At 46.8% G+C, this 16,335-nt stretch overlaps 1 protein-coding gene across 1 annotated transcript in view, besides 1 other annotated feature; it reads left to right on the top strand.

Moving 5' to 3' along the window:
• Positions 1 to 16,335, top strand: part of UBTD1 (ubiquitin domain containing 1) — a 72,283-nt gene that overhangs the window by 419 nt on the left and 55,529 nt on the right. The gene's annotated exons all lie outside the window — the stretch shown is intronic.
• Positions 2 to 201: a silencer, noted in NCBI's record as "silent region_2680". NCBI's record gives its function as "represses an Ori minimal core promoter by ATAC-STARR-seq in GM12878 lymphoblastoid cells {active_cell/tissue: GM12878}" and the evidence as "EXISTENCE:reporter gene assay evidence [ECO:0000049][PMID:35858748]".

Genomic DNA, 16,335 nt, shown 5'->3' on the forward strand with positions numbered 1-16,335 from the left:
GCTTACCGATGGACTCCCCACTGGTGCTGGCGCTTGGGTTTCCCCGATGGGCTGCTCCGCAGCCAGAGGGGGCCGCTCCCCAGCGCCGGGCGGCCGGGGGAGCTGAGTTGGGGCAACTGCGAGCACTGAGCCGGCTGCGCGACCAACTCTCTCCAACTGGGTAGCTCCTGGTGGGGGTGGGGGCAGGAAATGTTTGCAGACCGCAGCGGGGCCGACGGATCGGGAGGAGGCCGGGGGCGAGGGCGCCGCTGGCCTGGCAGCTCCGGCCGGGGTCGGACGCCGGCCCGTCGGGGCACGGCGCGGGCAGCCAGGCGTCCCCAGAACTCGGAGCGAGCGAGGCGAGAACAGTCGCTCCTTCCAAAGACTGTGTCATTATCGAGCTGCAGATCGTGTCTGCGGGAATCCGACTTGCAAAGCAGCGCAGGACTCTGGGAAAGAAATCTTTATTTTTCCCGCAGGGGTTTTTAGAGCCTCTCGGCCGTCTGGGAGTCTATAAAAGATGGGGTGCGGGGTGAGAGTCACCCTTGGGATTGTTGGGATCCTTCCCAGCTTTGGGAGTGAGATCGCTCGCTGGTGATCCTCCAGGCCCGCGCAACGCTTTCTCACTTTCATGGTACACCCCGCCTGCCCTGGCATTTCGCCCCGGGAAGAGGTCTGTCGGTCATTTTTCTGGGTCTTACACTCACTTCCTTCTTTGAGGGTGTTGCAAGGACCCGCTGGGAATAATATCGTAGACTTGAGAGCTCAAACTTGTCTGGATTCCAGATGGACCCATCTCCTACTCTGTGTCAAAGCCCAGATCCTGAGAGGTTGAACACCTTGTCCAAAGTCACACAGCTAGTTAGGAGCTCACCTGGGGCTAGAACTCAGCCTCCTCTCCCACCCCATTGCCACATATCCCCTTATGTAAGAGGAGCCACAGGCAGAGTTGTTAATGAAGTGGAAACTCTAGTTGGAGTTTCCTGTCTCCCTTGACACCGAAGGTGTGTTGCTTGGGTTGCGGAAACTGGGAAGGAAGATGGGGGAACCAGGGGAAGCAGGGAAGGATGTCTGCATGGTGGACAGGATGACTTGTGGAGGCAGAAATGTGTTTTTATGGGAAGGATGCAGTAAAACTTATTGAAATTCTCTTGTCTGAAGGTAACTCTGGCCATTCTTCTGGCTGAGGAGAGATGACTCTCAAAACCAAGGGCTGGCTTGCTTTCATTCATTCATTTGTTCAACAAATATGTGTTCAGGCCCCATAATTGATTTTGCAGCATTTTTTGCTGTTGACAACTCTCTCCTACGAGACATTCCCCCCCTTCCTTTCTTGGCATCAGACTGTCTTGGTTTTCCTTTCTGAACACCCCTTTCCACCATCACCTTCTAGCTTGGGGGCACGCTGGTGCTTAAGTTTGACATTCTGTTTTTTCTCTCATTACACTCTCTCCCAGAGAAATCTTGTTCAGTCCCACAACTCTTTGTCCATTGGGAATACCCCTATGCTTAAACTTCAGCTCTTCTCTCTTGAACCCCAGAACCCCATCTCTAGATGCCCACTGGACACTGTGATATAGATATTCCCAGATTTAACACCTCCAAAACCAGGCTCTGCATCGCTCCCTGTCCACCAGCTTTCCTTCTTTACTCTTATGTTCTTCCAGCTGCCTAACTTTAGGCTGTGAAGAGCTCTTTCTCTCATGACTTTCTCTGCTTCCTTGTCGCCTGCCTCTCAGCCAGTCATTGGGGTCTGCTGGGTCTTCCTTCCGCGGGACTTGCAAACCTGCCCCTTGCCACCCTACTTTGTACCCTTCTCACCTCAAGTCAACCCTTGTCTCAGGCTGAAGTGAGGTACCCCCCAAAGGCAACTTCATCTTCAGTCATCATTCAGTCCTACACACAGTTGTCCCCACAGAAGACATTTGTTAAATTAACTTCTTCCAGATTTTATAGTTCTGTGTTCAGAATGTTTCTGTACTTGGCCAGGCGTGGTGGCTCATGCCTGTAATCCCAGCACTTTGGGAGGCCAAGGCAGGTGGATCACCTGAGATCAGGAGTTCGAGACCAGCCTGGCCAACATGGCAAAACCCTGTCTCTACTAAAAATACAAAACTTAGCCAGGCATGGTGGTGGCAGGCGCCTGTAATCCCAGCTACTCAGGAGGCTGAGGCAGGGAGATTGCTTGAACTGGAAGTTTCGCAGAGGTTGTAGTGAGCTGAGATTGCGCCACTGCACTCCAGCCTGGGTGACAGAGCGAGACTCTGTCTCAAAAAAAAACAAAACAACAGCAACAACAACAACAAAACACCTTTCTGCATTTTCCCACTCCTACAAGTACTTTAACTTTCAAGGCTGTTCAAGTGTGGGCCAGTCCTTTCTTTTAAGTCCTGATTTCTTTCCCTTCTCTGACATTAAGACCACCAGTGTTTGCTCGTGCCATTTCCTTCTTATCGAGAGTCTTTCATCCTTTGGGTTCATTTCAAGTGCCGTGCCTTGTTTGAAGCACCTTGCCTGACAAGTCTGCCATTTCCCCCTCCCTCCGCACCCCACCACACACACCCCGTGGAAGTGATTGCTCCTTCTGAGAACTCCTGCAGACACATTATCTATGCCACTTACTTAACAATTATGTACTCTGTATTATTAATCATGTCTTTGATGTTTACAGTCTTTTATCAGCAACTACATTGCAAGCCTTGAAGACCTGGGTTCTGTCTTATCCTTGTAGTATATGTCTCTCTCACGCACACACACACATTCAGCACTTAACACAATGAGTTGTACAGAAGTAGCACTCAGTATTTGTTGATTTTAGAAAGCAAACTCAACTTCATCCTACCATCTGCATTTTTCATATATCTGCATTTTTTTTTTTACCTGCTAGTTTATCATTGCTTTAGTTCTGTGGGTCCTACTATGAATAGCTTTATTCATAAAGTCCAAAGCCGAGGGGAACTCTGTAGGATGACAAATTTGGTACAAGGGAAGGAATCCTTCTTAACTCCACAGTGCACCTGGCATTCCTGTAACATCTGTGGCTTTTCCTTTGACAAGGACATAGTTTTACGTTGTAAGACTAATGCCTAAAACTCCCCCAGCGCCACTGTAACTCTTACCTTCCTTTGGCACTAATGTAATGGGAAGAAAGCCTCAACAGGGAGCTAGGACCTGAGTTCTAGTCCTGGGCCTATAACTCAGTGACCCTGGGCAAGTCATCTAACCTTTCTGGGTCACACTTTCAATATTTCAGAAAGGGGGAGGGTTATACAAGATCATTAGAGCTGTTTTATCATCTTCACAAAGGCAGCTGTTTAAAGCGAGAAAGTTATTGAGGTGAAATCTTTATGGCTTGTAATGTCACCCTTTGTCCTTAGTTCTGCCTTCTTAGTCACTTGGTAGACAAAGCAGAGACACAATACTGTCTGGTCAGGGATTCTTGCATTAGGGAGAAGGGAGAGGTCCTCTCGTCTCATCAAGTTTTGTGATTGTCACTCATATGTGTGTGTGTGCGTATGTGTGTATACATATATACGTATATATACGTATATATGTATATATATACGTATATATATGTGTGTATATATGTATATATATATTTTTTTTTTTTTGAGAGAGAGGGTCTTGTTCTCTCGCTCAGGCTGGAGTATGGTGGTGCAGTTATAGCTCCCTGCAGCCTTTAACTCCTGAGCTCAAGTGATCCTCTCCCCTCAGTCTTCCCAGTAGCTAGGGCTAGAGGTGTGCACCACCACGCCCAGCTAACTTTTTATTTTTTGTAGAGATGGGGTCTTGCTATGTTGCCCAGGCTGGTCTGAAACTCCTGGCCTCAAGTAATCTTCTTATCTTGGCTTCCGAAAGTGCTGGGATTACTGGCGTGAGCCGCCACACCCAGCCTTAAAAATTTTTTTTGGATTGTTACTCTTAATGCATCCCCAGTAGGTCTGTGTTCTTCTCCTTCAGATGCTGGGTGGTTCTTGTATGCTTCGGAGAATACTTGGGGATTTACTCCTTTGGTGGGGGCTCTTGCCACCCCATACATGTACACTAGGTAGATAAATATCTCTGCCCATGAACTGGGTGAAGCAGCCTCTCCCCCAGCCACTCCAGGGAGAGGTAGAGGTGGTAGAACAGGCAAGTCTCTTGCCCAGCTCCACCCTTTGAGAATGTGGCAGGGCTGAAACCCAAATATCTGACTCTGTGATGTGCCAGGCATATCCACTTACGTTCTGGAATCTCAAGCTCGGGGTGGACAGACCCAGGGCCCTGTTTGGGGCTGGTTGGGCTTGGCACTGTGGTTGCAAGAGAGTCTGCTTCTTGTGTGGGCTGTGTGGCTATTCTTGAGGGAGTAATTGGGCAACTTCTCCATTTGCTCAGTAAGTATGTACTGAGTGCCAAGCACCCTGCTGGCTGTGAACAGACGTGGTCCTTGGCCACATGGAGCTTACAGTCTTGTAGGGGGCAGACAGTAAACACATAGTCATGCAAATTACACATGATCATACATAGAATTATGTAGTATTATATATGCTGGTGACTCCTCCCACATTTATAATTTCAGCCCATTCTCTGCAACTTCAGCCTTGGATATTCTGCTGCCTGCTCACCACACCTGCTGTCTAAAAGGCTTCCTAGTTTAACGTGTCCAAAACAGAATGAACCCCCATCCCATCCCTGTACCTCCCAAAGTCTTTCCCATCCCAGTTCATGATGATTTCATCCTTCCGCTTGCCAAGGCCCCTAAAATTCTCGTCGTCCCTGACTTCTCCCTTTCTCTCACACTTCACATCCATTTAATCAATAAATCCTGTTGGTTTTGCCTTAAATATGTCCCGAACCTGACTCTGACCATCTCCACCACTTTCACCCTGGTCTGAGCTACCACTGGCCTGTGAACTCACCTTCCTGCTTCCTCCCTTGTCTCCCGACAGACTATTTCCATCCCACTAGCCAGCGTGATACTCTAAACTGTAAGTCAGATTTCATTACTCCTTTGCTCAAGCCTCCTGTGACACTGCATCTCATTCAAGACTTCTTGTGTTGGTCTACAAGATATGATATGATTTTCACCTGCTCACCTTTCTTAAGCCATCTCATGCTCTCCATCACCTTGTTCAACCCCCCGATATCTGAATGGGTCCCTCTCTCTCCTTGTCCCAGTCTCCTATTTAAGGAATCAAACCCTCCCAGGCCATTTCATTTAAAATTATCCCCTTCCCTCTATCACCTGCTCTCGGCATTATGTACCTCCCTTTCCTGTTTTATTTTGTTCCATTGCTTATGTCATCCTCTGATATTGGTTGTCTCCCCTTGCTCCATGTTGTCAGAGATTTTTATTTGTTCACTCTGTGATACCAAGAGCAGTGCCTGGTAAATAGTTGTTGGATAAAACTAGAGTTGGTGAAGTCTATAGAAAAGCATAAGTGAACACGTCTGATTGATCTCCTACCTTAGATGGGTGTTAAGGCAGGTATCTTAATGAAGGGACTTAAACTGCAACCTCAGAGTGGTGTTCTATCTCTGGGACTGGCTTCTCTCTTGCCCCAGGCTTGCGTAAGTTCTTAGATACCTGGGATATATATGACTCCTGTGGTTTGGGTGCCTCTTGCTGGGAGATACCAGGGCTGAAGCAGGAGGGCAAAGTGAAGCTCACTATTGGGGTCCTAACCAGGCAGTAGCACCTTCTTGCCATTTTATGTGTGCACCTATGTCAGAGTGGACCCCCCTCTTCCAGGCACACGTGATGTTTGTAGTCCTTAACTCGCAGGGCAGGGATAGGGTGGCCTAATAGACTACAAGGGAGGAAGTTAGGTGATGTGGATTCCAGGCATCTCTTACCCATCAACTTGCTGGAGAATTTTTAGAATCATAGAATTTTAGAGCTGAAAAGGAACCTAAAGATTTCTATAACCTCTTTTTTCTTACCCAGCCATTAGAAAGAGAACAAAGGTATGTCTGTCCCCTGCCTAGTTCACAGAAACATGGTGCAACCTACATAAAAACTGCATGTGCTCCTTTAAGTTGTGAGTGTGTGGAGGTCAAGATATTATAGGGAAGTGGTTGAGGTCAAGTGTATTCAAAGGAGAGGAGGTCTAGTCTCTGCCACTTTCTTGAGTGGTAATCTTGGGCAGGTCATTTGTTTCTTCCTCAGTTGATCCCCCGTTTTAAAAAGATAATATTTCCAGTTTCCTTCACAGAGATGTTATGGAGATAAAATAAGCTAATGGTGGTTTAAAAATTACTTTCATGGCTACACAGTGTGCTCAGATATGAGGTCCCAACACAGAGTTTCATCTGGCATTGGTGGAAAATGAAGCCTGGGGTCTCTGCTCCTTCCTAGTTGTTTGTGTGACTTTGGACAAGCCTCTTGATCTCTTTGAGCCTCAGTTTCCCCATTTGTGCCATGAGGTGACTGCCACCCTGATCACCTTTCAGAGAGGTTGTAAGATTAAAGTGAGACCCTGGATGAAAAGAGATTTTGTGATCTTAGAAAGTTTCTATTATTCCAAGCTACCAGGATTTTTACACACAAAAGCCATAGCCAGTGATTTTTCCCACTAGATCATTGAAGCTTACTCTTTTTTAAGGAGCAAAACTATAAAAGAAATGTTTAAAAACTATTTTTGGATGGGAATCTTTCTGAAACGAATGATATGCTTCTGAGCAAAATATTAATATACAGCTCAGAAAGAACCTCTGGTTTGGGACTAGGGGTTGTTGAGTTCATACCGGTGTGTACAGAGCGCCTGCTTGGTGAGAGTGGGACCACAAAAGGTTCTTTCTCTCAAAAGTGTTACCTCCCAAAGAAGAGACCTGGGGTGGGGGAGGGACCTAGTGGTGGGCAGAGGGAAATTGCTGGGGGAGAGCCCACTCCGGGAGTGCCCTGCCTCAAGGTTCCAAGTAGCAACACTGGCACTGCAGGAAGGCTCTTAAATCCTGTTCAAGGCTCTGAGTGGGAAGAGCCAGTCCTACCCGGTCAGTTACTGTGCTTATAGTAGTGTGAGGCCACGGGGCTTGTGAGACTCTAGGGCAGTGGGCCCCAAACTACGTGGTTCCCAGCTGTTGGGCTTTGGGGGTTCATGTTTCCACCTACAATCATTGCTGTGTCTTCTGCCTGGTAGACAGTAGTCACTTCTCTTTTTTTTCTTTCCTTTTTCTTTTTTTTTAAGTGGTTACCTAGATATGACATAAAATTTACTTGTATGTAACAGCAAATTTTTCAGTCTATAGTTTTGTAGCATGAGTACATTCTTTGTATTTATTGTTGTACAACCATCCCAGTACCCATCTCCAGAACTTTTTCATTTTCCCCAACTGAAACTCTTTTACCCATTAAGCACTATCCATTTCTTCATCCCCCCAACCACTGGCAACTGATATTCTGCTTTCTCTTTTATGAGTTTGACTACTCTGGATACCTCATATGAGTGGAATCATGTAGTATTTCTCCTTTTGTGGCTGGCTTGTTTCACTTAGCATAATGTTGTCAAGGTTCCATGGTGTAGCATGTGTCAGAATGTCCTTCCTTTTTAAGGCTGAGTAATATTCCATTGTATGTATATACCACATTTTGCTTATTCATTCCTCCATTGATGGACCCCTGGGTTGCTTCCACCTTTTGGCTATTGTAAATAATACTGCTGTGAACATGGGTGTGCAAACCAGGAGCAAAAGGTGAATGCTCTCTGAGTCTCTGCTTTCAGTTATTTTGTGTATATACCCAGAGGTGGAATTTCTGGATCAAAAGGTAATTCTATTTTTACTTTTTTGAATAACCCCCCATAACACTTTCCTCAGCAGCTGCACCATTTTATATTCTCACCAACAGGGTGCAAGAGTTCCTGTTTCTCTACATCTTCACCAACAGTTGTTATTTTCTGCTTTTTGTTGATTAGGTTTGGATTGGTTTTATAATAGCCATCCTAATGAGTGTGAAGTGGTTTATCATGTAGTGATCATTTATGCTGGGCTCAAAGAGCAGTCCCTCCAAATCTCTGGGAAAACAGACATCTGAGTGTGTTAGAATTGTGCATAGAGGCTGGGCATGGTGGCCTACACCTATAATCCCAGCACTTTGGGAGACCAAGGCAGGAGGATTGCTTGAGGCCAGGAGTTCAAGAAAAACCCGGGCCACATAGTGAGACCTCGTCTCTATTAAAAAAAAAAAAAAATTGGCCTGGGCACGGTGGCTCATGCCTGTAATCCCAGCACTTTGGGAGGCTGAGCCGGGCAGATCACGAGGTCAGGAGTTTGAGACCAGCCTGATCAACATGGTGAAACCCCGTCTCTACTAAAAATACAAAAAAAATTAGCCGGGCATGGTGGCACGTGCCTGTAATCCCAGCTACTCAGGAGGCTGAGGCAGGAGAATCGCTTGAACCTGGGAGGCGGAGGTTGCAGTGAGCCAAGATTGCACCACTGCACTCAAGCCTAACGACAGAGCAAGACTCCGTCTCAAAAAAAAAAAAAAAAAAAAAAAAAAGAGAGGAACCTGGCAGGAAAGGGGCTGGAACACCTTCTGCAAGGTGTGGGGAGGGAGACTGAAGGGACAGGGATGACTCCTCGTTTGTATGTTTTTCCTCTGGAAGTCTTGGGACAAGGAGCAAAGGGTGAATGGTGCCTAGGCAGCCAGTCACTAACCAAGTAGCCTGAATCTTAGTTTCCAGCCTGCGCACTTGGAGTTTTGTTGTTTTTAAAGGCTCAGAGAGATGTAATTAGCAGCAGCTCACCTTTGCAGGGTGTTTGCCATGTACTAGGAGCATCACGTGCAGTATTTGGGTTAATTCTCACAACCACCCTATGGGTGGATTCTGTTATCACCTTTTCACAGATGAAGAAGCTGAGCCTTAGAAAGGTAATGTCTGCTGCCTAAGGTCACACAGCTTGTAAACTGCAGAGCTGGGACTGGAACCCAGGTGTCTGATCTCAGAGCCCACGCTTTGGGCCAGTGTGTAGTTTGTCCTCATGAGAATGGGAAGAAGAGAACGCTTTTTTGTTTTGTTTTGTTTTTTAATGAGTTTATTATTGAGCACCTTCAGGCACCACTTTGCTGGATCCCTTCACAAACATCATCTCATTTGATTCTCCCTATTTTACCTATGGGAACATGCCTACCTATTTTACATATGGGAAAGCTGATGGCCAGGAAAATGAATGGATTGCCAGTGGTTATGATGCTAAGAGACAGAGCTGGAACTCAGCCTGAGGATGTTGATTCATTCCAGTGCTCACAGCTCGTTCCATTGTGCTGTGAGCCCTGACCAGCTCCCACCCCACCCCCATGGAAAGAAGCTGGTAGGTCAGCTGTGAAGTCTGCAAAACTCCAAGGACTATAGCCACTGCTTTCCTTTCACATTGCTGTCCCTTCTTCCTTTAATTTCCCCACCCCCAGACCACCACCTCCACACCTAGAAGCCATGTGAGTCCATCATCTTGGATCAAAGTGCTTGGCACATAGTAGGTGCTCAATAAATATGCGTTGAATGTTGTTTGAGGGCTCGGTGTGCTAGAGGCAATAGAATCTCAGCCAAGATTGTGTTCCTAAAGAGAAACACAAGTAGAATGCAAATATTGTTGTTTCCTCCTCCTTCTCCCAGAGCAAACCTCCGCTTTCCAACACCCAGATGCCAGGGACTTGAAGAAAAGATTGTCCTTGCTCTGCAAACTTTGAATTATTCCCAAATTCCCAAAGGAAAAGAGGCACAGAGAGTCATGTTAGCAAAGTGCTTGCAGAATCAGGTGTCACTCTTCGTAATTAATAAGATTAACAATCTCTTTCTTCTCTCAGCATTTTGCGGTTTTCAAAATGCTTTCTCAAGTATTAGATATCATTTGATCTCCACAGCCATCCTGTTAGATAGGCAAGGCAGGACTCATTTTTCCCGTTTTATAGGTGAGGACACTGAGACTTGGTGAGGATGTTAAGATACTCAAGGTTATTGACTGAATAAGTGGCAGAAATCATAGAGAGGGCAGCGGTTCCACTACTTTCTTTGCAGAGCCTCAGTTTCTGCATCTGTAAAATGGGGTAAGCATACATCATTTAGAGTAGTGAAGCGTGAAATGTGATCATGTGTGTGTGATGTGATCAGCACAGTGCCCACACACAGCACGGCGCCCACACACAGCACAGCGGATGCTTAGATGGGGAACAACGCAAAGCTCATTGTTCCACTGATGACTTATATTGTACTGACCCTTGTTCCACCCCCACTTTTAGGGGGAGCATAGTATAGCCTCCCTAGTCCTCCCTGGTCACCTTCTGTTCTGGTCACCCTCTGGCTCATCCCTTGGAGTCAGAGTGCAATCACAAGGGCTGGCCATGAATTTCCTTTTTTTTCCCCCCACCCTGAGACGGAGTCCTGCTCTGTTGCTCAGGCTGGAGTGCAATGGCATGATCTCGGCTCACTGCAACTTCCGCCTCCTGGATTCAAGCGATTCTCCTACCTCAGCCTCCCGAGTAGCTGGGATTATAGGCGTACACCATCACACTCAGCTAATTTTTTTGTATTTTTAGGAGAGACGGGGTTTCACCATGTTGGCCATGCTGGTCTTGAACTCCTGACCTCGTGATCCACCCACCTCAGCCTCCCAAAGTGTTGGGATTACAGGCATGAGCCACCATGCCTGTGCCTGGCCTTTTTTTTTTTCTTTTTCTTTATTTTAGACAGAGCTCACTCTATTGCCCAGGCTGGAGTGCAATGGCACAATCTCAGCTCACTGCAATCTCTGCCTCCTGGGTTCAAGTGACTCTTGTGCCTCAGCCTCCTGAGTAGCTGGGATTACAGGTGTGTGCCACCATACCCAGCTCATTTTTTTGTATTTTTAGTAGAGATGGGGTTTCACTGTGTTGGCCAGGCTGATCTCGAACTCCTGGCCTCAAGTGGTCCACCCACCTCAGCCTCCCAAAGTGTTGGAATTACAGGCATGAGCCACCTTGCCCAGCCATGAATTTCCTTTGATTTGTAAAATCTGAGGTCTGTCAAAGAGAACATCTATAAGATAGTTTTCCTTTGGTGACAGGTCATTATGACAAATGTTTTATTCATTTAGTACAAATTTGCATTTTATTATCCCAGCTCCTCCAACTCATTAGCTATGTAACCTCGGGTAAGTTATTTTGAATTTTGAGGCCTCAGTTTTCTTATCTGTGAAATGGAGATAACAGTATCTACTCCATAGGGCTGTCATAAGAATTAGATGAATTACTGCACATCAGGTCTTGAGAATGGTGCCTGGGACATATTACCTACTCAGTAAGCATTAGTTATTATTTTTACTATTCTCGCCATGCTTGATGCTATATTATAGCCAGCTGCCCCCAGCCTTACAGTTCCCCCTACGTTGAGATATACGGCCAGTGAAGTTCATGTGCAAAACCTGACTTCTTCAGTGTGTCCTGGGTTATCTACTGTTCGACCCATTTATTCAGGAAGGCAAATCCGAAGCAAGTTGCAAGATAGTGTCATTATCATAGAGATAGCCTTGAATCCAGCTTGAATCAACTCTCATTAGTAGCAAATCACTTGCAACACACCCTACATACAATTCTTGCTGATCTCAGCAACAACCAGAGGCTACTTTTCTAGGCTATCTCCACATAGATGGAAACATTTCTTGCCAGTAGGTCAAGGCTGTGAGTGCCCTCTGTTTGTGGTGGCCCATCTTCAGCTTGGCAGAACACCTCCGAGTCCCCAGGGCTTCCTTCCTGGAGCTTTGTGTATTTCTCTGATACACATTGTCAGCCGCAGATACCTCCTCTGTGAACTTCCAAGGCACTGCTGATAAACTTCCACATCAGAGCCTCTTTCGCACTTGATGAGCATCCCCGCATACCTAGATTCAAAATTGCTGTTCGATTTCTTGTATACTGCTACTGATTGCACACTGATTGTGCAGTAGGCACTGTAGTAGGTACTTACACACATCTCATCTAATCCTCCTGATAGTCCACTGAGGTAGAGATTCTCCTTTAGGGGAGAGGTTCAGTGATGTTAACTGTGTGTCTTGAGGGGGTGGGGGTACACACAGTGAGAATGAAATATTTGGGTCATCAGTCTCAGGTTCCTTCCATGCAATACCCACCTGACTGTCAACTTCAACAAAGGACTCCCTGGGCCCTAAACAGGTATCTCTGGTTTACTGATGTCACTGCCACTCATGACTAGCAAATAGTCTACTTCTGCCAATTCTTGCACTATATATCCGAATGTGCCAGAAAGTGCACTTTGTGACAACCTTCATGGATTTGTCCCTCCTTCCACCTCTTCCTACCTCCCACGCAGTGTCTGGGACACAGACCACACTGTCCTCTGTTATATGGGATACTACACATGGCATTGATTTTTTTTTTTAACTTAGTGAAAGCGCTCTGTTCCCCCAAAATAGACTGTCACATGGATGAGCATTTCATTTCCTAAGCCTTCACAGCAGCTCCAGGAATTGCCATCACTGAAATCAGTATAATTTATTAATCTCCTACCATGTGTGTGGTAGGCACACCACAGTGATTCTTGACATCACTGTTTACAGTTTTCACATCTACCCTGTAAGGGCAGGCCTAATTTATGTCCATTTTACAGATGAGGAAACTGAGGCTGTGGGGGGAGTGTTGAGACACTTGCTCATGAGAGTGGAGGAGCTGCTGTTTGAATCCTGGGAGTTGTATCCTGGAGGCTTACACCTTAGCCAGTATGGGAAACTGCCTCTCAATATTTACTACATCGGCCTTATCCCAGCTACTGTGTTGGGGAGGGGAACACAGCATGGAGAGTCAGTTCATCTCCTCAAGGAGTTCAGAGTGACGGACTGAATAATACTGGAGTTTCTGTGGTTGGTTTTTATTTTTTCCAAATCTATTTCCACATGTCCCCATCCCTGGCCCCTGGCCCAGGCAGCAGATCCAAGAGTCCACACAGAGACACACAGAGAGCCAAGGGTCCAGGGGAGCTGAGGAGGCAGTTCCCGGGGGGACAGCAGCACTTTGTAATGTGTGTTTACACCCCAGGCTGACTCCTCCATTTCCTCTTTGCCCTTCTCCCCTATACTCTCATATCAGATCCACAGAGCCAAGAGCTCATTTAGGTCTGGCTCAGTGTGATAGTCCTGCTGTTGCCTGGTCCATGTCTGGCTACTGAGGAGACAGGAGGCCTTATTTGGCCATAACTTATTGCTTGTATGACTTTTTATAAGGCCCAAATGACATTTCTTAGAAACCCACATGCTGTATGCACTGTTATTTATGATGTCTTCCTAAGGACAGAATGGGCCAGTCTTCAGGGTCAGTAGGCAAAAGCAAAGCTACATTGGGCCCTTGAATCTGCAGCTAACCCCTCCTGTTTGCAGCTGAGCCTAGCTGTGTCCTGCTGTGACACATGTCCCATGGAAGATTCAGGGCCTAGATGTCTGATCCATCACTGAGCACCAAGCAGTTTTTCTGCAGCCCTGGACAGAAGTGTTCAGCCTGCTGCTTTTGACAGTACCATTCCTTGGGCATTTGTCTGTGATGGGGCCATAGCCCAGAGCAAGTGTGCAAGGAGAGACTTCCGCCCAAAGGCCCTGTCCTTCATGTGTCTGGCCCACCCTCTGGTGCTAGTTTGGGTAGGGATGGATGGGGACCCCTTTTGCAGGCTGCACCTGGGGCCTCAATTCTAGAGATTAAATGATCTCTTTTTCAAAACTTGTGAGGTTGGCAGGCTTGCACAGAATCCTTCCTTGCCTTTTAGGGGAAGGGAATTGGTATTGCTGGGGAATTCAGCTGGAAGAACTTGGGACTGGTTCAGAGGGGTCAAGCCACTGTCTGTGGTCTGCTCTGCACAGGGGTGGTGCTGGTATCCGATCCAGGAAATCTGACTCCCTTTCCTGTGCCTTTTCTAAAATTCCACCCTGCCTCATTCCTGCAAATGTGTGTGCACATATTATACATGTATATCTCATCATCCAGATGGCTTATGGTCTACTTGGGAGAGGAAGCAAAGACAAATAAAGGTGTAATACCACTTCAAACAAGACAGCATGTAGACAAGTGCTAAGTCATACAGTGTAGACAAGTTGAGACAAAGGCAACATGTAGACCCTTTTAACAAGAGTTGGGATGAGAGAGGTCCCTGGGAGCTCGAGTTACGGAGGGAAGATTTCTGAAGGTGGTGGGACTCAAGTTGCTCCTTGGGGGATTGGGATAGGACAGATATTGGAAGTAAGTGGGCATAGTTTGTAGAAGGGTTAGTGATTTGAGGAAGTGGTACAGGTTGGAGAGAAGCAAGCAGTACAGTCTTCTTTATTGTAAAAGTTATGTGTGCTCATGTAAAAAATGTGAACGATATGAGAAAGCTCAAAGAAGAAAATCTTTGTACTCTTACCCAGACAGAGTCTCCATTCTCATTTGGTATTTATCTGCCTGTTTCTTTTTATTTAGAGATAGGGTCTTATTCTGTTGCCCAGGTTGGAGTGCAGTGGAGCTATTATAGTTCACTGCAGCCTTGAACTCCTGCGTTCAAGTGATCCTCCCATCCCACCTCCTGAGTACCTAAGACTACAGGTGCGGGCTACCACACCCAGCTAATTTCTGTATTTTTTATAGAGATGGGGTCTCGCCGTGTTGCCCAGGCTGGTCTCAAACTCCTGGCCACAAGCACTTCTCCCACCTTGGCTTCCCAAAGTGCTGGGATTACAGGTGCCTCTTTTTCTTTTCTTTCTTTCTTTTTTTTTTTTTAAAGGCATTGAGATCAAATCTGTTGTGTCCACCAAGATTATGGAAGGTATCGAATAGTATATGGGGACGCTTAGGTCAAAGGGAGCCTCTGTTGCTTCTTGCTCAAGGGGTGCAGATGAATGTAGTTGTTTGAGAAGAGACACTCAACATCTGTGAGCAGGCAGGATGGGAGCCTGGGACGAAGCACTGGCTTTACCACCCCAGACTTGGGACTCTTTCATTACCCACTGCATGAGAGTCTCAGGTTTACCATTCTCCACTGCTGCCCCAGGGGCTCAGAGAAATAATTTCTCCTGAATTGTCTCAAAAGCTTGTTCCCCACCTGCCACCCTCATCCCTCCCCATCCCCCAAATTCCTCTCTTTTCCATTTACTGCCCAGTTTCTTAAGCATTTCTCCTCCCCTAGAGTTGTTGGGGACACAGCCGGTTTTGCCACACTGCAAACCTTTGCTGCTGCATGAGGTCATTTCAGGGGAGAAACTATATATAGCGGAGGACTAGCATCAGGACAGCTCCACGTTGTTCAGGCCGGTTAGCATCGCCCTTCCGCTGATGCAGGCAGGGTCACCTCGGATTCAGCACTCATCCAGTGGGAGTGTGGTCAGGAGCCCCGAGGAACCGGGGCAAGGTCGTCTTATCTTCATTGCCCTCTCTGTGTAAGCCCATGAATCTCTGGTTCCTCATCTGAGTGATGAAGGAGTTGGTCTGGGAGGGGAATTTTGCACCGTTTTTCAAAGCTACTTGAACCCTTTCTGGGGTAAGCTTACAATGTAGCTTGATATGTACAACCAACTGGGTACTGCACTGGTTGAAGCCGGAGAGAATGGCCCCCCAAAGGGTTCCACTTATGTCCTGGGGTCCTAGAGGGCACACAGTTTGAAAACCACTGAGCAAGCTGATCCTCTGAGGTTTCTTTCAGAGAGTCTGGCCTCGTGCATAGGATCTGGCATAAATAACGCATAAGCAGGGTTGCAAGCTCTGTGACCTTTGGAGACATTGATGATCATCTTGGGTAGCCTGGGGGTGTGGCATAGGGACAGATCTCAGGGCAGAGTCTTTTGGAGTTGGGGCAGCTAGGCCATAGCACAGTTTGCAGATGCAGTTGGACTTGCTGGCCTGCATGTTGAAGGGCTGTTTCTTTTTCTGCCTGCTCCTGCCTGCCTTTCTTTTTAGCACTGAGTTGCCCCAAAGAAGAGATGAAAATGAGGATTTAATGCATTTCAGGCAAGGAAAGAGCATTTAATTTAAGTTGTGTGTGGCTGAGTTACACATTTTATAGAGAGAGTATTTGTCGAGCACAGTGGTGCCTTTGGCAGATATAGGAAAGCCAGAACGTGGGGCCAGTTTTTCTTCATTCAGCAAGTATTTGTAGAGCGCCAGCTTTGTATTCCTGGAGAAGCAGAGAAGCGCAAGGGAGATCCCAGCTGTGTTAGAGCTCCTTGATTGCAAGTAACAGAAACCAACTGAATCCAGCTTAAGCAAAAAGGGTGATTTATGATAGGGCTTCATGGAGGACTCAGGACCCCACGGCAGGGTTGCTGCCTGGCCTTAAGCAGGGATTAGAAAAACCCTGTTAGATTCTCCCTCTCTCTCATCTCTGCTTCTCTTTGAGCTTCCTTCACTTCTCTGCAGCCTGGCTTTCCCCTCCT

This window comes from Homo sapiens, chromosome 10 (assembly GCF_000001405.40).
Source record: "Homo sapiens chromosome 10, GRCh38.p14 Primary Assembly".
Classification (NCBI taxonomy): Eukaryota; Metazoa; Chordata; class Mammalia; order Primates; family Hominidae; genus Homo; species Homo sapiens.